General features: G+C 37.6%; 1 protein-coding gene and 3 pseudogenes across 2 annotated transcripts in view; 2 read left to right on the top strand and 2 right to left on the bottom strand.

The window, feature by feature from the left end:
• The window catches only part of AKAP19 (A-kinase anchoring protein 19), a 323,923-nt gene that overhangs the window by 261,771 nt on the left and 36,782 nt on the right, over positions 1 to 25,370 (bottom strand). The gene's annotated exons all lie outside the window — the stretch shown is intronic.
• Positions 10,672 to 13,353, top strand: RNF11P1 (ring finger protein 11 pseudogene 1; annotated as a pseudogene).
• HNRNPCP2 (heterogeneous nuclear ribonucleoprotein C pseudogene 2) lies at positions 16,824 to 18,545 on the bottom strand (annotated as a pseudogene).
• Positions 23,956 to 24,660, top strand: TERF1P6 (TERF1 pseudogene 6; annotated as a pseudogene).

Below are 25,370 nucleotides of genomic sequence, written 5' to 3'. Positions count from 1 at the left end.
TCTGTTAGTATGTTTAATTCATTGCTTTTTATTTTTAGGGAATCTATTACAGGTTTTTGCATTGTGGTTATGTGAGGCTCACAAAAAACATCTTATAGATATGACAAGTTATTTTATTTTATATTTACTTTGGATCTCAAAGTTATTTTATTTTATATTTACTTTGGATCTCAAAGAAAAGTGTGAAAACAAAAATTAAAAACAAAACAAAAACTTTACGTTTAAATTCTCGCCACCCTCCCACATTTTGACTTTATGTTGTCTCAGTTTACATATTTTTATACTGCTTATCTCTTAACAGGTTGCTGTAGCTATTATTGTTTTCCAGACACTTGTCTTTTGGCCTTCATACTGGAGTTACGAGTGGATCTCACACCACAATTACATCCTAAGTTTGTCTGTGTATTTAATTTTACCAGTGGATTTTATACTTTTCAATGCTTTCTTTTCACGTGTTAGCTTGGTTTTTTTAAGATTGAAGTTAGCATTTCTTGTAAAATAAGTCTGATGGTGGTGAATTTACTCAGCTTTTATTTGTCTGGGAAAGGCTTTATCTCTCCTTTATAATTGAAGGAAAACTTTGCTGGGTACAGTATTATTGGATGGCAGTTAGAAAATGTCACTACACTTCCTCCTGGCCTGATTTCTATTGAGAAGTCTATTGCCCAATGAATTAAACCTCCTTTATGTGTTATATTCTTCTTTTCTCTTGCTATTTTTAAGATCCTCCATTTATCCTTGACCTTTGAGGGTTTATTATATCCATGGGTGTCTGATTTGGAACAAATTTGGTATTCTCTGGCCTTTCAATAATTTTTTTTTTGAGACGGAGTCTTGCTCTGTCGCCCAGGTTGGAGTGCAGTGGCACGATCTCGGCTCACTGCAAGCTCCGCCTCCCAGGTTCATGCCACTCTCCTGCCTCAGCCTCCCAAGTATCTGGGCCTATAGGTGTCCGCCACCACGCCTGGCTAATTTTTTGTATTTTTAGTGTAGGTGGGGTTTCATCTCAGCCTCCCAAAGTACTAGGATTACAGGCATGAGCCACTGTGCCCAGCCCTCTGGCCTTTCAATACCTGAATATTTATCTCCTCAAGTTTTGGAAAATTTCCTGTGAGTGTTTTTTTTTGAAAGCTTTCTACCCCTTGCTCTTGCTCAGCTTCCTCTTAAACACCAGTAATTCTTAAACCTGGTCTTTGAAGTAATTTTCTATATCTTGTAGGCAATCTTTGTTCCTTTGTTCTTTTTTCTCCTTTGACTGTGTATTTTCTTTTCTTTTTTTCCCCCCCGTTGCCCAGGCTGGAGTGCAATGGCGCAATCTCAGCTCACTGCAAGCTCCGCCTCCTGAGTTCACGCCATTCTCCTGTCTCAGCCTCCCAAGTAGCTGGGACTACAGGCAGCTGCCACCACGCCTGGCTAATTTTTTTTTTTTTTTTTTGAGATGAAGTCTTGCTCTGTCGCCCAAGCCAGAGTGCAGTGGCGCAATCTCGGCTCACTGCAAACTCCGCCTCCTGGGTTCATGCCATTCTCCTGCCTCAGCCTCCCAAGTAGCTGGAACTACAGGGGCCCACCACCACACTAGGCTAAATTTTTGTATTTTTAGTGGAGACAGGGTTTCACCATGTTAGCCAAGATGGTCTCGATCTCCTGACCTTGTGATCCACCCACCTCGGCCTCCCAAAGTGCTGGGATTACAGGCGTGAGCCACCGCACCTGGCCAATTTTTGTATTTTTAGTAGAGATGGGGTTTTGCCTTGTTGGTCAGGCTGGTCTCGAACTCCTGACCAGCCTGATCCACCTGCCTCGGCCTCCCAAATTGCTGGTACCACAGGTGTTAGCCCCCATGCCTGACTGACTGTGTATTTTCAAATAGCCTGTTTACAGCTTGCTGATCCTTTCCTCTGAATGATCCAGTCTACTCTTAAGAGTTCCTAGTGAATTTTGCAGTTCAACTAATATATTTCTCAGTTCCAATATTTGATTTTTTAAAATTATTTCAATCTCTCTGTTAAATTATCTCATAAGTTTCTGAATTGCTTTTCTGTATTATCTTGAAGATCACTGAGTTTTTTTAAAACTGTATTTTGAATGATTAGTCATAGAGTTCACACATCACCATCTTGTTAAAGTCAGTCACTGGTTCCTTGCCTTATCCATTAGAGGAGGTTCTCTGTTGTTGCTTCCTGTATGTCTGCGTCTTTGGATGGAAGGTTATTTATGCCAGTGTTCTCTGTCTGGCATGTTTTGGTTTTTATTAGATACCTTTACTTAGAGATTCTTTGCAATTTACTTTTTTTTTCCACTGCTAGGTTGTAGACTCTTTTTTGGCACTAAATGGTACCTTAAGCACAGATTTGCCTCATTTCTAGTAAACAATCAGAGTGTTCCCCATCCCAAATTGGGAAGGTCCTGCAGGAGATATTCCAGTAACGTGTAGAAAGTCTGGCTAGGGGTTTTTGCCCACGGGAACGATGGAACAAACCTCCTACAGCATGGTGCCACTGAAAGGCCACACTGATTGATTTGGCATCTCCTTTGGTGGAGTAACAGAGCAGAGTTTCCATGGCTGGGGATGATAGTCCCACCTCCCTGCTTTGTCTCTGGCTGTCCTCAGGAATATTTCTTCCTTCACACACTCCCAATGCTTCCTGTGGGTTGAAGCAGGGACAGGTCTCCTGTCAGGAACCCAAGACGGTGGGGAAGCTGGTTATCCATCTCAACCTCACTTTTTCCAGTGTAGAAACCATGAGTCAGGAGGAGAAATGTTCCACATGCCTGGTGCTGGACCGATTGTGGGGAAGGGCACTGAAGATATGGAAGTCCAATTCTATTACTATCTACTCAAATTTTTTAATATTTTTAATTTTTGTGGGTAGATATATGTATTTATGGGGTACACGAGATGTTTTGATACAGGCATGCAATGTGTAATAATTACATCATGGAAGATGGGGTATCCATTCCCCCAAGCATTTATCCTTTGTGTTATAAACAGTCCAATTATACTCTTTTAGTTATTTTTAAATGTACAATTAAATTATTATTGACTATAGTCACCATTTTGCTAGCAAATACTAGGTCTTATTCATTCATTCTAAATATTTTTTTGTAACCATTAACCATCCCCACCACCCTTCCTAGCCTCTGGTAACCATCCTTCTACTCTTTATCTCCATGATTTAATTTGTTTTGATTTTTAGATCCCACAAGTAAGTGAGAACATGCGATGTTTGTCTTTCTGTGCCTGGCTTATTTCACTTACCATAATGACCTCCAGTTCCATCCATGTTGTTGAAAATGACTGAATCTCATTCTTTTTCATGGCTGAATAGTACACCATAGTATAAGTACCACATTTTCTTTCTTTTTTTTTTTTTTTTGGAGATGGAGTCTCGTTCTGTCACCCAGGCTGGAGTGCAGTGGCATGATCTCGGCTCACAGCAACCTCTACTTCCTGGGTTCAAGCTATTCTCCTGCCTCAGCCTCCCAAGTAGCTGGGATTATAGGCACATGCCGCCATGTCCAGCTAATTTTTTTGTACTTTAGTAGAGACGGGGTTCACCATGTTGCCCAGGCTGGTCTCGAACTCCTTAGCTCAGGCAATCCACACGCCTCAGCCTCCCAAAGTCCTGGGATTATAGGCATGAGCCACCGCACCTGGCCTAAGTACCACATTTTCTTTATCCATTTATCTGTTGATAAACACTTAGGTTCCTTCTAAATCTTGGCTATTATGAACAGAGCTGCAACAAACATGGGAATGCAGGTATCTCTTCAGTATGCCAATTTCCTTTCTTTTGGGTATACAGAGAGCAGTGGAATTGCTGAGTCATATGGTAGCTTTATTTTTAGTTTTTTGAGGAAACTCCAAACTGCTTTCCACAGTGGTTATATTAATTTACATTCCCATCAACAGTGTATGAGGGTTCCCTTTTCTTCATATCCTTGCCAGCATTTGTTATTGCCCACCTTTTGTATATAAGCCATTTTAACTGGCATGAGATGATATCTCGTTGTTTTGATTTGCATTTCTCTGATGGTCAAGGATGTTGAGCACCTTTTCATATATCGGTTTGCCATTTGTATGTCTTCTTTTCAGATTCTATTCAAATCTTCTGCCAATTTTTCAATTGGATTATTAGATTTTTTTCCTATAGAGTTTTGCTCAAAGATTTTGTTCTTGATTTCCCTGTGATTCTACAAACTGTTTTATCTTAATATTTGAGTGCTGGGATATTGCTGGTGATGATCTCGGTGCTCTCTTGTTTGTGGTTTTCTGTGAAGGGGAGTGAAGCCAACTTGCTTCTACACCATTTTGGAACATAAAATCTCTCCACAGGGCTGCTTGAGTGTCCTCACAACATGTCAGCTGGCTTTCCCAAGTTCAATAAGTTCTGAAGGACATATACACCTGCATAACCACTACCACAACCAGCATACAGAACATTTCCATCATCCAAACAGTTCCTTCAGGTTCCTTTGTAGTCAGTCCATCCCTTCACTCCTGTCTCCATATAACCATCATCAGCTTTCTGTTATTGTTTTTTAGTTTGTATTTTCTTTCTTCCTTTTCTTTTGAAGAGACAGGGGGTCTTGCTCTGCCACTTAGGCTGGAGTACAGTCGCATGATCATAGCTCACTGTAACCTCAATCTCCTGGGCTCACACCATACCCCTGCCTCAGCCTCCCAAGTAACTGGGACTACAGGCATGCACCATTATGCCCACATACATTTTTTTATTTTCTGTGCACTGACAGGGACAGGGGTCTCGCTATGTTGCCCAGGCTGGTCTTGAACTCTGGGCCTCAAGTGATTCTTCCTCCTCAGCCTCCCAAAGTGCTGGGATTACAGGCATTAGGCATTGTGCGTGGCCCAGTTTGTATTTTCTAGAGCTTCATATAAATGGAATCACATAGTATGTAGTTTCTGTGTAAGGTCTCTTTCACTCAGCATAATGTTTTTGAGATTCATTCTGTTGTTGTGTGTATCAGATCATTCCTTTTTATTAAGTAGTGTATACAGCTATACCATGAAAAATTTCTCAATTATTTCTTGGATTTCATCAATAAAAAAATTTGTGGACATTTGTTTCTTTATCCTATAATGTAGGAAATATCCTACAGAATATCCTTGATTTTGCTTCTTGTCCTGCAAAGCCTAAAATATTAAAATATTACTACCTGATCCTTAATAGAAAAAGTTTTCTGACCCTGGAGTAGCAGAATAGTCATGATTTGGGAACTTGCTATAATTCCAGACTCTCAAAACCTACCCTAGAACTATTGACTTAGAATCTAGATTTTAACAAGGTCCTAGGTAAATCATACATATATCAAAGTATGAGAGGCACTGTTTTTCTCTGACAGTTTTTAAAATTTTACAGTTATAACAATAATGCACTGCATATGTGAAAGTGTGTGAGAGATAGCCGTGTGTGTGTGTGTGTGTGTGTGTGTATCAACAAGTCTAACAGAGTCATTCAAGTCTATGACATTCAAAAAACTATTATTGGCATCTAAAACAAACCCATAAAAATACCCAAATAAAATATGGAGACATATACATGTTGAATTTTTTTTCAATATTACTCCTGTATAGAATTCTAATTCTCATTTTAAATTTACCATCTTTAGATAGAAAATATCCATTATTTTATAATCTTACAATATTAAATGATTTCCTAAAGTTTCTTGTTAAAGCACTTTTCAAAAGAGCAAATGAAACACAACCAAAAACTGTTCTGTCTTCTGTAAAAGGATGTACTAGTGATTAGCAGAGATTAACAGATAATCATCTTCATGCATGTGACCAACAAGGCCAAAAGGTCACCAGGGTTTTCATTTATTATATGCTGTAAAATTCATGAAGCAAACCTACTTGGCATGTATTTTTTAATATTATACACATCTTTTGATCAACAAATTAAAAGTTAAAGAACAAGTCATTGAATTCCTATTAATATTTGCTGAAAAAGTATGTGAAATGTGAAGATTTTCTCTTCATGCAAAAATCATGATAAAGACATTTTCAAAATCAGAGAAAACTAATTTATATAACATAACTAAATTTGCTACAAGCAGTAACAAATAGCTTTGTGTTACTAAACTCAGACAGCTGTTAAGTTTGTAATCATCTCCTATACCTAACTGCAGTAAGCATTTTGGGTTTCCTAGACTCCATTTGAAAATTATATTTATGTACCTATTATTTTAGAAAACGAGTTTCATACTTTCACTGATTTAATTCTGTCAATTCTAAGTTTCTATTTGGGATCCTTAATAAAATATTCAAAATGAAGAAAATATTTAATTATCTTTTCGATATTTACTTTACCAATGTTAGCTTGAAAATAGCAACTTCTTTTCTTCAAACTATCTTTTCCAGAATTTCTTGATTCACTTTGTATCTTTTTGCACACGTGCTAGTTCTAAATATATGTCTGAACTCCAAATGACTTCTCTTCATATTAATAGTCCAAAACAAGCTATTAAATCTTCCTTATAACAAGCAACAATATGCCAAAACACTTGCTCTGTATTTCATACTTTAATAAAAAGGATGTATAAACACTAAAAAAAATTATTTTAAAAACCCATTCCTTCATTAATAAATATCATGTTCCCCATTCATTTGACAAAATTTGGCACTAGTCAGAAGCTGTCATAGGAGCTGTTCAAAGATCAGAAATTTTCAGGTTTATCTCATCTTATTTAAAAACGCTACATGCATTATGCTTGCAGCCAGATCATATAGTCCCTTTAAGACAATCAGAGATTCACCTGAATTAGTCCTGCTTTGGAAAGTCAGTCTTTTAAATGGCATTGTTAGAAAATCATACAATAATAAAACAATATGAGAATATATCTTTTTCTTTCTGTTTGAGGCTCTACTAATATTTATTATTCACTTTAAGAAAGACTTGAATTGTAAAAACATAAAATAGATAAAATAAATTCTTTATAATCTTTTATATTCTAAATGATCTATATATTATTTAAAAACAAGATAGTATTAATTATAGAAAAAAATTAAAAAGGGGTTTCATTTAAAACTGATGTGTTTATCTGGGAATTATAAAAGAAAAATTTAAAAGATTATGTAAAACTAAGTATAACAGGAAATATTAAAAGGGCACCCTTAAAATTCTAGATTTAAATATAGGTAATTGGAGAACCTACAGGTCATAATGTAGTAAGTCTTGATTTTTAAAAGTCAACAAAAAATGTTTCCCTCTAAAATATACTCTTTCCAATTTTAAGGTAAAAATGGAGAAAAATAGAAATCATTAACAATGCATGAACCAAAAATTAGTTTAGAATAAAGGCCAATTACAATTATGGAATCTGCATCTGTTCATTACAAATTTTGTCAGTTTTCCAGAATATGAGGCTAGGCAGTTTTTACAAATGACGTAAATGGAAATGTGTTCAGAAATGGCTAAACAATGTGTGCAACATGCAAAAAATGTGATGTTACAGCTACAAAGGAATTCACTCTTCTTCACACTACTATTTATATAGACTTCTCTTGGTTCTATTTCTATGGACATTTTTCTTACTCTGTATAATTTTGCCAATTGAGAGACTGACTCAACATTCTTTGAATATTTGAAATTTCTACAAATATGAAACATCTCCTACCAAGGTGTACAGAATGGCTTACAAAGAGTTTAGATGACTTAGAAAAATTGCATTAAATTTCTCTGATAAATGTGTGGCAAATGTTTAGATGAGTAATCTTCTTAAGGCTATTTCTAATCCATGGGATCAGCTTTTTGGGCAATCAATGGACTTCTTAGGACATGCCATATTTAGCTGAGAAAAGGCTGTCCAGGTTAGTGAGAAAGAAAATTCATTTGGGGCATATCAAGTAGTCCAAAAGTGACAAAATAATATCAAATATTAACAAAGAAATAAGCCTAAAGAGAGTTAAGCAGGTTTTTAAAAAATCAGATAAGCATTTCCTATAGTCTCTTAGAAACTGAGAAAAATAGGTTATTATCATTAATAAATTTCAAAAATGTTGGGTATTCTCCCATCTCTAAGAGATTCATGGTATGTAGTTAACATATTAAAGGCTCTGTGAGCTAAGTCCAAAAAAGAAAGCAATTTAATTTTTGTAGATGAAATCTCTACCCCTTTTTGAAAATTTCAACCCACATATTTTTCCACAGAAGACAATTTGGAAAGGCTTTGATAATTTTAGATATTTAGGCAGTAAAATGTGACAAACAAAAATGGCCCACATATGAAAAATGACTGTTTAAAAATCATCTAAAAGAATTGAAAATAAAAGAAATGGGAAGGTGGGCCCTTCCTTGGGTATTATTCATTTATTCAACAAATATTTACTGAGTATTAAGTGTGACAAACATAATGCTAGACACTAGGTACACGGTTTTGATTTTCTAAGACACTGTTTCTGCCCCCACTCTCACATCTCCCTCCCAAAAGGAGTAGAAGTCTTTATGAGAGATACTTCTGTTACATGAGTAAACTATCAGTTTCAACCCAAATATAGTGTTAACCTAGTTTCACAAGCACTGGCATTAGTAAAGGCACTTAACAAGCAAGAAAATATTAATAACTAAATGCTGATTATATAAGTTTTTTCTCAAATCTGAAAACTGAAGATACTGAGTATCTGCCCAAATTAAACATTAATAAAGTGATGCTGGTGATGACATAATGTTCTCAGTGATGGGCATGAGACATAGGATAATCTAGATATGAGCTACCGGCAATATATGATCAGTAATCTTTGCTTTTTCGGACCCTAACAATGATACAAATATTTTAAGTATCTTTAAGATACTCAGTTGATAGAGAAAGCCATATTCCATGTGGCTTTTAATTAAATGTTACCAATAATGTAAAACAATCCCATTTTTACCAGGAGACATATTCAGTCAATAAAAACCTGCTGGAAAGGCTCTCACTGGTCAAATCTAGGATAATGTAGCATCAAAATAACTAATGATAGTAATGGATTCTTTTTTTTTTTTTTTTGAAAGAGAGGGTATCACTCTGTTGCACAGGCTGGAGTATAGTGGCACTATCCTGACTCACTGCAGCCTCGACGTCCCCAGGTTCAAGCAATCCTTCTGCCTCAGCCTCCTGAGTGGCTGGGACTAAAGGTGCACGAGTTCCTACCAATAGTAGTAAATAAAGGAGAAGGGATAATTCTTCCCCAAAATAGAATTCCAACTAATAAATGTGGTATATATATTAGAAGTGGTGTGCATGTGTGGTGGTGGGGGGAGAATCAGCATTTATCATGAATAGAATGACTTTTTTTTTTTTTTTTTTGAGTTGGAGTCTCGCTCAGTCGCCCAGGCTGGAGTGCAATGGTGCGATCTCGGCTCACTGCAACCTCCACCTCCCAGGTTGAAGCAATTATCCTGCCTCAGCCTCCCGAGTAGCTGGGACTACAGGTGCGTGCCACCACATCCAGCTAATTTTTGTATTTTTAGTGGAGACGGGATTTCACTATGTTGGCCAGGCTGGTCTCGAACTCCTGACCTCACTTTTTAACGACCATTTGTCATAAAAAGAAAGACTGAGGAATTATCCCTTTTTGGTCTTGTTGGTCACATGGATAAAGATGATCATCTGTTAATCTCTGCTCATCACATAAGAAAGCCATGACAACTAAACACGATGAGGGATTCTGGACCAAAGTAAGAACAGTGAGGTGTCTGGCAAAATTTAGAACTTTTTTCTTTTGCTTTGAAGGACATTAGTTGGGAAATTGGCAAAATTTAAATAAGGACTGTAAATCAGTTAATAATATTGTATCGGGCTGGGGCTCATGCCTGTAAATCCCAGCATTTTAAGAGGACAAGGTGGGTAGATCACTTGAGCTCATGAGTTCGAGACCAGCCTAGACAACATGGTGAAACCCCATCTCTCCCCAAAAAATTACAAAAAATTAGCTGAGCATGGTGGTGCGTGCCTATAGTTTCAGCTACTTGGGAGGCTGAGGTGGGAGAATCACCTGAGCCCAAAAGTCAAGGCTGCAGTGAGCCACGATTGTGCACATTTGGGGCTGAGGCAGGAGGATCACTTGAGGACAAGAGTTTGCTTGAGGAGGGAGGCTGAGGCAGGAGGATCACTTGAGGACAGGAGTTCGAGACCAGCCTGGGGAACATAGCGAGACCCTGTCACCACACACAAAAAAATTTTTAATTAGCCAGGTGTGGTGATGTGTACCTGTAGTCCTAGCTACTAGAGAGACTGACACAGGAGGACTGTTTGAGCCTGGGAGTTTGAGGTTAATATGAGCTATGATCGCACCACTGCACTCCAGCATGGGTGACAGAGTGCGACTCTGTCTTCAAAATAATAATAATAACAATATTGCATCAAAGTTAATTTCCTGTTTTCTATACACAGTACAATTATTATATTATGATTGTGTAAGATGTTAACATTTGGGGTGAAGGGTGTACTATTTTTACAATTTTTGTAAATGTAAATTAATTCAAAATAAAATTTAAAAAGAAAAAAAACCACCATTTCACAAACCACCATAACTGTTTCAAGTAAGAGTCATCATCAGTAGATGCTAAAACTAGTGGAGGAAAGTATGAGCAACAATATATTTACATAGTCTCAAAGTATCCCACATACTTATTAATTTCAAGGTAGAAAATAGAGAAGACTGTCAGTGCACAGATCACACACCCACCCCTTGGCCCCAGAAGATGGGGAACTGCCTCAAATCCCCCACCTCGGATGACATCTCCCTGCTTCAGGAGTCTCAGTCCGACTGGGCTAGCTTTAGCGAGGGAACTAAGCCGTATCAGGAGCCGCTGCCATATCAGGAACAGGTTCCAGCTCCAGTCTACCATCCAACACCTAGCAAACACCTATCCTAACAAATTAGGATAGCTCAAAGAATAGGCCTTATACAACATCTGCCTAAAGGAGTTTATGACCCTGGAAGAGATGGATCAGTAAAACAGATCTGGGAGTGTGTGATCTGTATGATGGACTTTGTTTATGGGGACCCAATTCAATTTCTTTTTTTTTTTTTTTGAGAGGGAGTTTCCTTCTTGTCACCCAGGCTGGAGTGCAGTGGCGCGATCTTGGCTGACTGCAACCTCTGCCTCCCAGGTTCAAGCAATTCTCCTGCCTCAGCCTCCGGAGTAGCTGGGACTACAGGGGCGCGCCACCACGCCAGCTAATTTTTGTATTTTTAGTAGAGACGGGGTTTCACTATGTTGGCCAGGATGGTCTCGATTTCTTGACCTCGTGATTCGCCCATCTCGGCCTCCCAAAGTGCTGGGATTACAGGCGTGAAGCCACCGCGCCCAGCCCCAATTCAATTTCTACCGTGCATGTACATCTACCACCTGGACTGTATTATGACTGGTAGATGAGATCCTTCACGTGCCCCTCCTCCATGGAGCCAGTTGATGCAGCACTGCTTTCAACCTAGACTATTGAGCCAGGGTGTCTCATCTGACTTCAAGTGAACCATCATGTTGGGGGGTTTTGATCTGTTGTCACTAAGCCCAAAGAACCAGGGATTAGGAATTAAGATCATGCACAAAAGTTTCCTAAAAATTCCTGGATGGCTGCAGATGTTGGGGGAAAGTACATGATATTTCAAAACTTAGAGAGAAAAGTAGGATGGTATTTTTATGTAAGGCCTTGACCCAATGTTCAAAAATATAACTGTATTTAGACCTTGTTATTGCTCCAGTACATAGGAATTGTGTAAAGTGTTACAGCAGCTGTATTTGTTTAAATTGTATGTACTGAAGATAAGCAAAAGATAGTAGTTATTTTCCTAAATGAAATAACTTTCTTCTCTTCCCCCTCCCCATCCCCAAATTCTTTTCTGATGTTACTGGCATTTGGGTCAAGGTTTTATTAAAAGCTGCATTTTATAACACTGGCACACACAAAAAAAGTAGTTTAAAGCTTGTTTGCACAGTTATTTTTTTCCATTAGAAATGGAATTCATTGCCTTAGGTCCTTTTAAATAGTGTATTATTATCATTGGGCTAGTTCTATGCTTGAAAACCAGTTTATTTATAATCTGTTATAAGTGCTATATTCTGTTTGCAGTCAGGAAATGCAGAATTCAAAGTGATATCCTAGCTTGTAAGCAAACTGAGATGTACTATCCCTTTTCTATTAAAAAAAAAAAGTGTCAATAAACCAACTCTATTACAGTGGGGTTTAATATTACACTTTCCTGTGTGTTTTATCTAATTATTTTGGTTGTTAATATGGTGATAATTGAAAATCAAGGTAAATTTTAAATATTAAGAATTCTGATTTATTGAGATTGAATTATGCCACCATGTTTATGAAAAATGAAGGTGGCACCACGGTGAGACCTCATGAGAAATAGTTACTCAGCTGTAACAATTTTGATTTATTCTGTTTCCTGTGACCTCCTTCCCTCTTGTCTTGAACCATAGCAAAAAGATACTGCATCCCTCATTACTGTAATGCTGAGGTTACTGAAGTTACATAAAACACATCTCAGTCCCTGTTTCTTGGAAAGGTATCTATTAAGTCCTGCTAGCTAACTGACAAAATGAAGCAAGTAGAAGCAAAAAGTGTGTTTCACATTTTGCACACAAATGCAGAATTTGTATAACCACATGACTTCATAGTTGTGATCTCAAAAAAGAAGGAATTTCTCCATTTTTTCTTCCATTTAATGTAAGAATACTTTAAATCTCTAGGCTTCTGAAGTGTTAGAGGTAAAGACATAGTAGTAATGTTTTATCCATTTAATGTATTTATTTTTTCGTATATACTCCTAGGTGACCTACTTTTTCACTTCAGTGACATAACAGTAAAGAAAAATCATTCATTAGGAAAAGGAAAAGTGGTCTCAACCTAACAAAGAAATCAGAAATGTTTCTTATTATTTTATGTTGAGCTGCATATTGGACTCTAACATTTTTCTACATGCAAAACACAGTGTCATGAAGCTTCTTCATAATTGCAATATAGAGGAATTTAGTATCTCTTAAGTACTTTGTAAAGATTTGACATTCAACTATAGTATCCATATGTTGGTTAAATTTCCTTATGAGCCCCATGATGGAAAGACTTAAAGATGAATTTGAGAAAAATTGAAAGAAATTAGAGTATCAAGTTGTGTTAAATTGTTACATGTATCTTGCTTAAATTTCTGTTTATTAATTTATATCCACCCAATTACATAAAGCAAATTTGAAGGAAACAACTGAAGTTGTGAAATATTATCTGTGATAATTGCTTTTTTTATTCTTGTGTTTTCTACTTAAACATGATGTCTATGTCATCAAGTATTATAGTCAGACTTTTTTCTCAATTGTTAAAATTGGTAAATGAACTTTTTTAAAATAAAAAAAGCTTCTCCAACTTTACAATGGAAATAGATCAATGAACCTGATAAATCAATGTTAACATTACCAGTAACAAGAAAAATTGATACAATGGGCCTTCAAATATGATTCACTGAAAAAGACACAAATGCATTTCTGTAGTATTGTTCCTGAATATCCAATATCTGATACTAATCTGAAGGAAACACCAAACTCCAAATAAGGCACATTTCATAAAATAACAGGCCTGTAACTCTTGAAAAATGTTAAGGACCTGAAAGATAAATTAATTCTGTAAACAATTCCAGATTAAACAATACTAAAAAGACATGAAATCTAAATGTCACTTGATTGCGCAATCATTCCTGAAACAGGAAAAAAATCATCTTTTACTTACTACAAAAGACATTAATGGGACAACTGGCAACATTTGAATGTCTAGAGCATTACAAATACAACTTTCTGCAATGATGGTAGTGTTCTATATCTATGCTCTCCAATACAATAACCACTGGACTGCTGAGTGCCTGAAATGAGAAACTGAATTTCTAATGTATTTAATTTATTTAAATAGCCACATATGGCTAGTGGCCACCAGACTGAACAGCACAGGCTTATATACTAGACAATAGTACTATATCAATGTTAATTTCCTGATTTGATGACTGTATTAAGATTACACGAGAGAATATCCTTATTTTTAGGGAAAAAACACTGAACTGTTTAGAGGTTAAGGAGCATCATGTGTACAACTTAAAATCTTCAAAATGTTTCAGAGAAAAGAAAGAATGGTAAAGCAATGTGGTAAAACGTTAATATTTTGAGAATCTGGGTGAAGTGTATACAGAATTCTTCATACTATTTTTGTAAGTCTACCATTATCGCACATTAAAAGTTAAAAAGAAAAGAATAGCTGCATAAAATCAATATTATTCTCACTAAAACTTATTTGTACACTATTTTTCACTTTGTTCTTGAAATGTGAATGTTCAACTGTTAATTCGATTTCATTTTTAAAAAAACTCCTCTATACTCTATAAACTATTCACTCTCTGACCAAAAGTGTATAATATATTAAGCTATTCTAAACTTTTATAGTTAGCAGAAAAGAAAGAGCATAGAACTGAGATTTCAGCCTGAGTACTGAATATTTAAAGTAGCAAAGGTATTGCAAAATTAAGTTCATTGCTGGGCATGGGAACTCATGCCTGTAATCCCAGTACTTTGGGAGGCTGAGGTGGGAGGATCACTTGAGGTCAGGAGTTCAAGACCAGCCTGGGCAACAGAGAGACAGGGATCTGTCTCTACAAAAAATAAAAATAAAAAAAATTAACCAGGCATGGTGGTGTGCATCTATAGCCCTAGCTACTTGGGAGGTTGAGGTAGGAGGATCACTTGAATCCAGGAGTTTGAGGCTGCAGTGAGCTATGATCACACCACTGGACTCCAGCCTGGGCAACAAAGTAAGATCCTTGCTCTTAGAAAAACAATTAATTAGGCCGGGCGCAGTGGCTCATGCCTATAATCCCAGCAATTTCGGAGGCCAAGACGGGCGCATCATGAGGTCAGGAAATCGAGACCATCCTGGCTAACACAGTGAAACCCCGTCTCTACTAAAAAATATACAAAAAATTAGCCGGGCATGGTGGCGGGCGCCTGTAGCCCCAGCTACTCAGGAGGCTGAGGCAGGAGAATGGCGTGAACCTGGGAGGCAGAGCTTGCAGTGAGCCGAGATCGCGCCACTGCACTCCAGCCTGGGCGACAGAATCCGTCTCAAAAAAAAAAAAAAAAAAAGGCCGGGCGCGGTGGCTCACGCCTGTAGTCCCAGCACTTTGGGAGGCCGAGGCGGGCGGATCACGACGTCAGCAGATCGAGACCACCCTGGCTAACACAGTGAAACCCCGTCTCTACTAAAAACCCAAAAAATTAGCGGGGCATGGTAGTGGGCGCTTGTAGTCCCGGAAGGCTGAGGCAGGAGAATGGCGTGAACCCAGGAGGCGGAGTTTGCAGTGAGCCTAGATCGCGCCACTGCACTCCAGCCTGGGTGACAGAGTGAGACTCCGTCTCAAAAAAACAAAAAACAAAACAAAACAAAAAAAGTGTAAAAATCATTGCGCATCTTTCTATCTGTGCAGAGATGGAACATATTGTGTCATTTCCACAGAGTGAAATGGAAAGCTCCATAAACAGTGAGATTTAGTGGGTTCATCCTTGGAAAATAGTCAAGAAAAAATGCCTATATCTCTTGCTTATATGTGATCAACCGAATATCAATGATAATGCAAAAGTTGAACAGAAAACTTAGAAACTAAAGAAAAAGTATCTAGATTAATTTCAAATCAGATTTCTTTTTCACAGTCTACTCAATCCAGTATAATTAAGTTTCCATCATTACTTCATGAGACTATCCTCAGAAAGATCTATAAATGTACTTTTCACTAAATCCAATGAATACTTTTTAGTCCTTAATCTCTTGATAACATTTGATAATACAAACACCTTCCTTCATGAAATGGTCTTTTCTTCTGGCTTTGATAATGTATATTTTCTTGATTTTTTCTCTCTCTACTCTGCTTCTAGTATCCTTGCATGCCCTCTTCCTTTAGTCATCTCTTTACTGACATTTCTCAAAATTCTGTCCTAGACCATAATCTCTTCTCATCTTATACCCTAACCTTGGGTTAGGGCGTCTCATCTCACATTCCTGGCTTCGGAAAACATGTATTGCACATATGAAAGTGAACCCAAAGATCATCCTATCCTCAACTGTTCCTGAGATTCATACCCACAAATGAACCTATGGACATGTCCAGTTGGATGTCTTTCAGGAACATCTAACTCAACATGTCAAAAACTAAACTTATTATCTCTAGCCCCTATGGTTACTGCCTCCCTGAAAACTGCTCTTCCTCTTTTCATAAATGTCACTATCACTTGTATAAGACAAAAACCTGGGAATTATCTTTTATTTCTCATTCATCATTACCTCCATCTAAGGAACTATTAAGTCTAGTATATTCTATTACTTGAGTAGATTATTATTATTTGCATAAGTTATATTTTATAAAGTTGCTATGAATACTGAATTAGTGAACACTAAACCACCGAGGATTACATTCCTGTGAGCCTCTGGTCACAGATTTTCAGCAATCAGTCAACACACAACATTGTTAGATGTTCCTAAAAGACATCCAGTTGGACATGTTCATAGGTCTGTTTGTGGGTATGAATGAATCTCAGGAACAGTTTAGGATAGGATAATCTTTGGGTTCACTTTCATATGTGCAATACGTGGTTTCTGAAGCCAGAAATGTGAGGCGAAACCCCCTCCCTCAAGGTTAAATGAGTATAATGAGAAGAGATTATTGTCTAGGACAGAAAGTGTGTTTCTGTTTAAACACACCTTTCATTCACTAACATTGAGCTCATGGTTAACAGCAGTATAACTCATACCATAATGAAGCTTATTTTTATTTATTTATTTATTTATTTATTTTTTCCCCTGGTTTAATAAGGACTTGTTTATTTTGAGGAAAAAAGGTCCCAAACATCAGGCTGTTCACAAAAATAACCCACAGTATCAACTTTAGAAAACAAATCTTAAGACTATAACACTAATTATTTTTCTAGAGGATGCATTTGACATGCCAACTCTCATTCACAAAAATACATTGTTACATTTGTGTTGAACTGCCCCACACAGCACACTAATGTGGGGGTGTAACACACATACTTCTAACTCAAAGCTGCTTTCAAGAGCTACTCAACTAAATGAGATTGCCTTTGCAGTTAGGGAAGCAACTACTGAACTTATGTATGAATGAAAAGAACTGTACTCCCTGCATAACAAGAGATTATTTTGGAGACAGTTGATAAAAACCATACATCATTTTTATTGTTAAGTCATAAAGAGGTATCAAAATTAAAAGCAAAAATTACAGGGTAAGACTTAACAAAACTACTAGGAGCGTCAAAGGAAGTGAAAATGGGACTAGGCGCGGGGCAATATGAATTAATTAATGAACATGGGAAGGACAAGGATGGGGAAAACAGTGAGCATGTGCTGAAGATACTAGGGGAGAGGATCTGGTGAAAAATTTGATCTTAGACAAGCGCCTAGGTAAAGAAATAATGGGATAAGATTTCTAAACCCCACTATGTGCTTAAGAGTCATCCTCGCCATTGGCGCTGTCTCTGTCATCCTCTCCTTCCTCAGCCTCTTTTTCATCATCCTTGATCAACTCCAGCTGGTCATCCCCCCATCTTCATTATCATCATCATCCAGTAGGTCCCCCTCCTCAGCAGAGTCATCTGCACCCCCCTCAGACTCCATCTTCACATTAGTCTCATCTTTCTTCACGGAGCTGCTGCTCTGCTCCTCTTCTGACTTAACATTGTTCATCTCTACTGCTTGTTTGCTCTGTTCCTTTTCAATTTTTTCCAGGTTTTCCAGGAAAGAATCCACTTTTTGTTTTATCTGGGTCAGCTCCCTCTTAATGGCCTGAAGGTCATCTCCTTTCAACTTTCCAGACTTGGAAGATCCCCGCTGTCCACTCTTAGAATTGAAGCCACTTATGCCCCTTTGTGAAGTGTTTCCTGATACACGCTGACGTTTCGAGGGCACTACAGCCCGAGCAATAGGAGGAGGAGGAGGTACACGTGCTGGGTAACTGTACATCCTATCATAATAGTCCCGTTGAAAGTCACAATCCAAGTCAAAAGAGGAGCCGTACATCTCCGCTGCAGATCGTTTCACACCTGCTTTTCCTCGGTTCACTTTTGGCTCTGCAGCCAGGTTAATATCTAAAACCTGGCCAGCAATCATTCTGCCATCCTCTCCTGCTACAGCAGCCCGGGCATTTCTCTCATTAACATACTGAAAGAAGGCAAAGCCCTTATGAACAGAGCAGCCCACAATTTTGCCATACTTCGAAAAGATTGCCTCCACATCAGATTTCTTGACCACAAGAGTGTTGAGATTCCCAATGAATACACGGGAGTTCATGGAACGAGGATCTGTCTTGTTGGTAACGTTGCTGGCCATTGTGTTTGATGGTAAGGTTTCTCACAAAGCCGAAAACAAGAAGGGGAGGGAGAAGAGATTCGATTCTGAGTCTCCTACTCCCGGGTTCTGCGTAGAGAAGCCGACTGCTGCTGGAGGTCGGCAACGCGGCCGCAACCGCTCAGTCTTCGTCTCTTCACAAAATGGCCTATTTATTTATTTTTTTAGAGATGGAGTCTCACTCTGTCGCCCAGGCTGGAGTGCAGTGGTGCGATCTTGGCTCACTGCAACCTCCGCCTCCCATGTTCTAGCAATTCTCCTGCCTCAGCCTCCTGAGTAGCTGGGACTATAGGCGTACACTGCCATACCCGGCTAATTTTTTGTATTTTTAGTAGAGACAAGGTTTCAACGTGTTGTCCAGGCTGGTCTTGAACTCCTGAGCTCAGGCAATCCATCCGCCTCAGCCTCCCAAAGTGCTAAGACTACAGGCATGAGCCACCGCACCCAGTAGAAGCTTATCTTAACAAACATACTTGCCCCATAAAGTACATCATGGCCTTCTTGCACTGAGGAACACTATATAGACAGTACTTTAAAAATATGGTTAGGGCCAGGTTAAACTTTAAAATTACCAATAAAAAGTGCAGATATGAGAAAAACATAGCAATAAGTAATAGGTAAAAAAGATATTTGTTTACAGTATAAGAACTAAAAGAAGGCAGGATGTTGACTTGTTCAACCTCAGCTGGGAACATGTGCATTGGACAACACAAATTTTTCTGCTGCTCTGTGTATGTCCACAAATGACTGTGAAAGTACAGCAAGTACTGATTTGGGGGTTACAAGCAAATTTTTGTGAGTAGGCATAATTGCAAATACAGAATTCACCAGCAGGGATCAACTGTATCTGCTGAATCTACCTACTTCTCTCTATACCCATGTCTAGTTTAGACAACTCATATTGGTTATGGATTAAGCTGATAGCTTTCGAACTGGTCTCCTTGTTTCTGGCTCTCCTTTGATGTATTCTGCAAGCAGTAGCCAGAATTGTTTTTCTTCTAAAATCTGATATAATTCCTGTTTAAAATGTTTCAATGACCAGCCACAGCAAAAGCCAACACTTTAACAAAAGTTACAATGATATGATCCTTGTCTTTTCAGTCTCCTTTCTTGCTATTACCCTTTTATCTAGTGAGCTTCAGCCAAACAGAACTTCTTTAAGGTTTCTCTTATTATTGGGCTTTTGTATATGCTATTTCTTCTGCCAATTTCATTGTTCCCTCTTCACCTGGCTAGCTCACACTAATCCTTCACATTTCTACTTTATTGTTACCTCTTCCAGAACCTTTCTGCTATGTGCTCATCCAGCACCCTATACTTCCCCTATCTTTCTTTATACTTACCAATTCATTTTAAATTCTCTATTTAATGAATTGCTAGTTCCATGAGGACAGAGACAACTATCACCCTTTCCCCAGAGCCTAACCCAGTCAGTACTTTGCATATCCAGGTGTTCATAATATCTGTTTAATGTCAGGTGAACAAATTAATAGTTCTTCATTATGTGTGAGAAGGTGATATGTCTGCACACCTTCCTGACTGCCAGCTGATCATACTACACAAATTCTGATGATCTTACTCTTTTACTCAAACTAATTCTAGGTCTACTCTGTTCTCTGTTCTACATTGTGAAGTACTCCCTCTCTATTGAAACATTCCCATTAGCACATACACATGCTATTTATTGCCCATATTAAAAATAGGAAGGATGAATGGAATCTATCCATAATTCTCTACCTTTCTTCACTATCATCCATTTTTCTGCTCCTTTAAAAAAATCTTCTAAGGGATACCTATAGTTTATGCCTTTAATCCCTCACCTCCTAATCTCTACAAATCACCATATTGGGGATCTTCATCACTTCAATGAAATTATTTTTGACAAATTCACCAATAACTTCATGTTGTCAAATCCAATGGTCACAGGTTTGTCTTCATCTTATTTGACCTCTCAGCAGCACTGTACACAGCTGACCATTTTATTCTTTCTGAAATAATTTCTTCTTTCAACTTCTATGACACAACATTTTCCTGACTTTTCTTGTTAACTATTTCTTATCAGCCTTCTTTGCTTGTCTTCCTCTAACCACCTTTAAAACTAAAGTTCTAAGGCAAACAGTACCAACAGAAAGTATGGTGTGGTTACAAAACACATTTCACACAAAATAGTAAATATAAAGCTTTCAGGCAAACACGGCAAATTGACCATATGCTTTTTTCTTCTTCTAGCAGAAATTCCGCTGAAATGATAGTTAAGGAATCATAAAGGTATAATTCCACAAAGACAAAGAAAAAAGAAAAAAGGTCTATCAGTGGGTGAGAAAGTTCACATTTCCTGATGATATAAAGTAGATGGAGGTGTAGCAATTGACTTTGCACAACAGAAGGGGCCAGAATAAGTTATCCTGATGAGAAGAAAGACAATACACCCTGAAAATCCTAGAAAGCATTAACCCTTGAAGGCATCAAGTACCGGAAGACAGGGTGAGTGGGCAGGCTGAGAACTGGGTTCCAAGATCTTTCCTCTTTCTACCACTTGGCCAGGTCATTATTCTTCCATTCCTTCTTTCTCCTGTAGTATGCTAGAAATTTGTGGGCTGGAGAATTTGAACAAAAAAGGTTTCAGACACTGTGACACAAGACACAGAAGAAAGTGGGACTGAACTGTTGCCTTGAAAACAGGAATTAAGCAGAAATGTATAAATTGAATAGTGGTACCCTCAGGCCTTGGGGCAGGATTGCTTCTTATCCATTAAGATCTCTATTCATCTCTCTTTCTTTAGGAATAGAACACTACATTTTAGCTAGGCATATCCATCCAGATAAAAACTGCACTTCTTAGCCTTGCTTGCTGCTGGGTGTGAGCAGAATGGTGTACAACTTCTATTTGTGCCTTAAAGGAAAACAACATAATGCTCTCTACTTTCCTTTCTTCTTCTGCCTACTGGTGGGAACGTAAATGTGATGGCAGGATCTAGGACAGCCATCCTAGACCATGAGATGGAAGTTACATATTGAGAATGATAGTGCAAGAAAAGTGTAGAAGCCCAGGAATCTGACATCTTCAAACTGCCATATCAGTCCTATATTGATGACTCCATGAGAGAAGAATACACTTATATTTTTTATGTTATAGTAAACAAATCTAATATAAAATACAATACTGGAAGTGGGGTGTTACCAGAACCAAACTGAGAATATATGGTTGACCAGCAATGGTGAGGGCATAGAAATGGTAGATTGGAAAGTAAATTATCCTGATTAAGCCACAGCAAATCTGGCACAACTGTATCCTACAATAACATGGAAGATAGACTATTGTAGGTGTAGTGAAATTTGTTGGAAAAACTCAGAATGTTTGTGTGTGTAGGCTGCTACTTGCCACTTTATATCAAAGCCCTGAAAGGGAGGAAGGGAGAAAAAGGAAGAAGGAAGGCAGATAGAGGAAGAGGATGGAGGAGGGGCAAGATGAAGGGATAAGGAATGTACACAAGCAGGCTCACACTCAGGCTAGAGATGACTCTACAGAGACAACATAAAGTGAAGCTTTCTCTAGCAGCTTTTTAAAAAGTGATGTTGCAGCCATAAAAGGGAATGAGATCATGTCCTATACAGGGGCATGGATGAAGCTGGAAGCCATCATCCTCAGCAAACAACACAGGAACAGAAAACCAAACACCCCATGTTCTTACTCATAAGTGGGAGCTGAACATTGAGAACACATGGACACAGAAAGGAGAACATCACACACCACGGTCTGTTGGGGAGTGGGGGTAAGGGGAGGGAACTTAGACGATGGGTCAGTAGGTGCAGTAAACCACCATGGCACTCCTATACCTATGTAACAAACCTGCACGTTCTGCACATGTATCCTGTTTTTTTTTTTAGAATAAAGAAAAAAAAGGATGTAAAAATTCACATAAAATTAACCATTAACTATTTAAAAGTACACAATTAATTAACATTTGGTACATCCACTATACTGTTGTGCCACTATCACTTTTAGTTCCAAGACATTTTTAATGCTCAAAAGGAAACCCTACACCCATTAAGCAGTCATTCTCCATCTATCCCTTCCCCCAGCCACTGGCAACTACTCGTCTGCTTTCTGTCTTTATGGGTTTGCCTATTTTGGAAGTTTCATATACAGTAGTCCCCCCTGTCCACAGAGGATATGTCCCAGGACCCTCAGTGGATGCCTAAAACTGCAGAGGGTACCAAACCCTACGTATAGTCTTTCGAGATTTTATCACACTATTCAGAATGTGCCAAAATTTAAAACTTATGAATTATTTCCAGAATTTTCTATTTAATATTTTTGGACCATGGTTAACTAGAGGTAACTAACACCATGGAAAGTAAAACTGTGGATAAGGGGGGACTATGGTAAATGGAATCATACCAGTTGTGATATTTATACCTGGGTTCTTTCACTTAACATAATATTTTTCAGGTTTATCCACACTATACTATGTGCCAGTACTTTATTCTTTTGTATGGCTGAAAAATATTCCATTTTATAGATATACTACATTTGTGGACAACATATCTATTGATAGAAATTTAGGTTTTCACTTTTTGGCCATTGTGAATAGTGCTGCTATGAACATTTGTGTACAACTATATATTTGACTACCATTTTCAATTCTTTGGGATATATACTGGAGAGGTGAATTGTTGGGTTATATGGTAATTATGTTTAACTCTTTAACTCAAAACTGTATTTCCTATAACAGCTGTACCATTTTACATCCCCACCAGTAATGTATGAGTGTTACAATTTCTCCACATTCTCACCAACACTTATTTTCTTTTAAAAATTATACTCATACTAGTGAGTGTGAAGTGATATCTAGTCAATATAATTGAGTCTAGGGTGTTTTTACTGGATGTTGAGAATCATACCCTTCAGGAATGACAGGTAAATCAAGCCATTCTCAGATGAAGGAAAAGGGAGTGTGGTACTAGGAGGCCCACTGTATGAGAATAGCTAAAGTTCTCTAACCAGAAAGAACAATTAAAGAGGAAACCTTGGAATATCAGGAAGAAAGAAATATGATAAGTAAAAAACATAGATAAATACTATATATTCTATCGAGTTTTGTAAGTTATGTTTAATGGATGAAACAACAAGTATAATATTGTCTATTATCTATATAATATTGTCTCCTGGGGCTCTAAGCATATGTAGAGTACTTAAGACAATTATAAATAGGAGAGGGTAAAAAAAACATAAAGGGAGGTAAGGTTTCTACACTTTACTAAAACTAGTAAAATGACAACACTAGTGGACAATGATAAGTTATGTATATATAATGTAATATATAGAGCAACCTCTAAAAAACTATACAAAGAGATATTTAAAAACACTAAAGATAAGTCAAAATGGAATTCTAAAAAATTTTGACATGACCCATAGGAAAGCAGAAAAAATAAAACAGATAAATAAAAAACAGCAGAAACAGAAAAAATCTAAAATGACAGGCTAAAGCCCATAATTACATTAAATGTAAATGGTCCTACTCCATCAATTAAAAAACACAAATTGGCAGAGTGGATTCATCAACCTTTCTAATGAAGGCAGCAGCAAAAGTAGTAGAAAGTAAAAGAATAAGAACAATAACTTCTCAAGATCAACCTAATGGTAATGATACCGAAATAGAAACTGAAGCTAACTTGGATACAAGAAAAAGGTCTCACAAGAATCTTTTCTTATCTAAGTTGAAATGTGGAGCCCAGCAATAAGACCTTAATAAGAAAGAAAGAAGAGTAAGAGCTCTTCAAAGTGCAAAAAAGAAAAAAGAAAGCAGAAGAGCCCCTGAAAGCAGAATATCTGTTTCAAAGAGTCAACCAGTAATTCCTGAAAAACATCGAGCTAGAAAAAAAACAGACATGGTTTTGAGAAGAAGACAAGAATTTGAGATCTGGCATGAGGAAATATGGAGAGGGAAACTGATCTAAAATACTATTGCATTATAAATTCAACAACCGGACAAGTGTCATGTTAAAAGACAGATGGAGGACCATGAAGAAACCAAAACTGATTTGCTCAGACAGCGAAGACAGTGTTTGTAAAAGCTTGATGAAAGGACAGTTAAGTATTTTGATCACTGCATTTTGTTTGAAACTTGCATCATTGATGTATTTTAAAACTTTTGTTTAAATCATTACAGTATTTTTCTGTGACCTTCAATTAATATGAGGGTTTGTGCTATAAGAGTTACAGTATATGTTATCATTATATTCTTCAAGAACCTTATTTTGATAAAATGTAAATTTGTTGAACCCTGCCACATTTAGTATCCCCACCCCCAAATCCTGTTCCAATGAAAAAATTAAAAGCTCATACAAAACAAAAAATCAATCATGAACTGAAGAGTAAAACGGAAAACTATAAATTATACGGTGAATGAAACCAGATTTTACTCTGTTTTGGAAATAACTCAGATGTCCTTCAATGGATAAATGACTAAACAAACTGTGGTACATCCATACAAAGGAATACTACCCAGGAGTAAAAAAGAATGAACTACTGATACATTTAACAACCTGGATGACAATTCAGAGAATTAAAATGAGTTTAAAAGAAGCCAATCATAAAAGTTTACATTCTGTATGATTCCATATTATGTAACATTCTTGAAATAACAAAATTATAGACTTCTAGTACAGGCATATGAAAATTATTTAAGTATAGGCTGGGCGCAGTGGCTTACACCTGTAATCCCAGCACTTTGGGAGGCCGAGGCGGGTGGATCATTTGTGGCCAGGAGTTCCAGACAAGCCTGGCCAACATAGTGAAACCCCATCTCTACTAAAAATACAAAAATTAGCTGGGCATGGTGGTGCATGCCTGTAATCTGAGCTATTCAGGAGGCTGAGGCATGAGAATTGCTTGAACCTGGGAGGTGGAGGTTGCAGTGAGCTGAGATCCTGCCATTGCACTCCAGCCTGGGCGACAGCTCTGTCTCCAA

Source organism: Homo sapiens, chromosome 2 (genome assembly GCF_000001405.40).
Source record: "Homo sapiens chromosome 2, GRCh38.p14 Primary Assembly".
Classification (NCBI taxonomy): Eukaryota; Metazoa; Chordata; class Mammalia; order Primates; family Hominidae; genus Homo; species Homo sapiens.
This window is presented reverse-complemented; position numbering and strand designations above follow the sequence as displayed.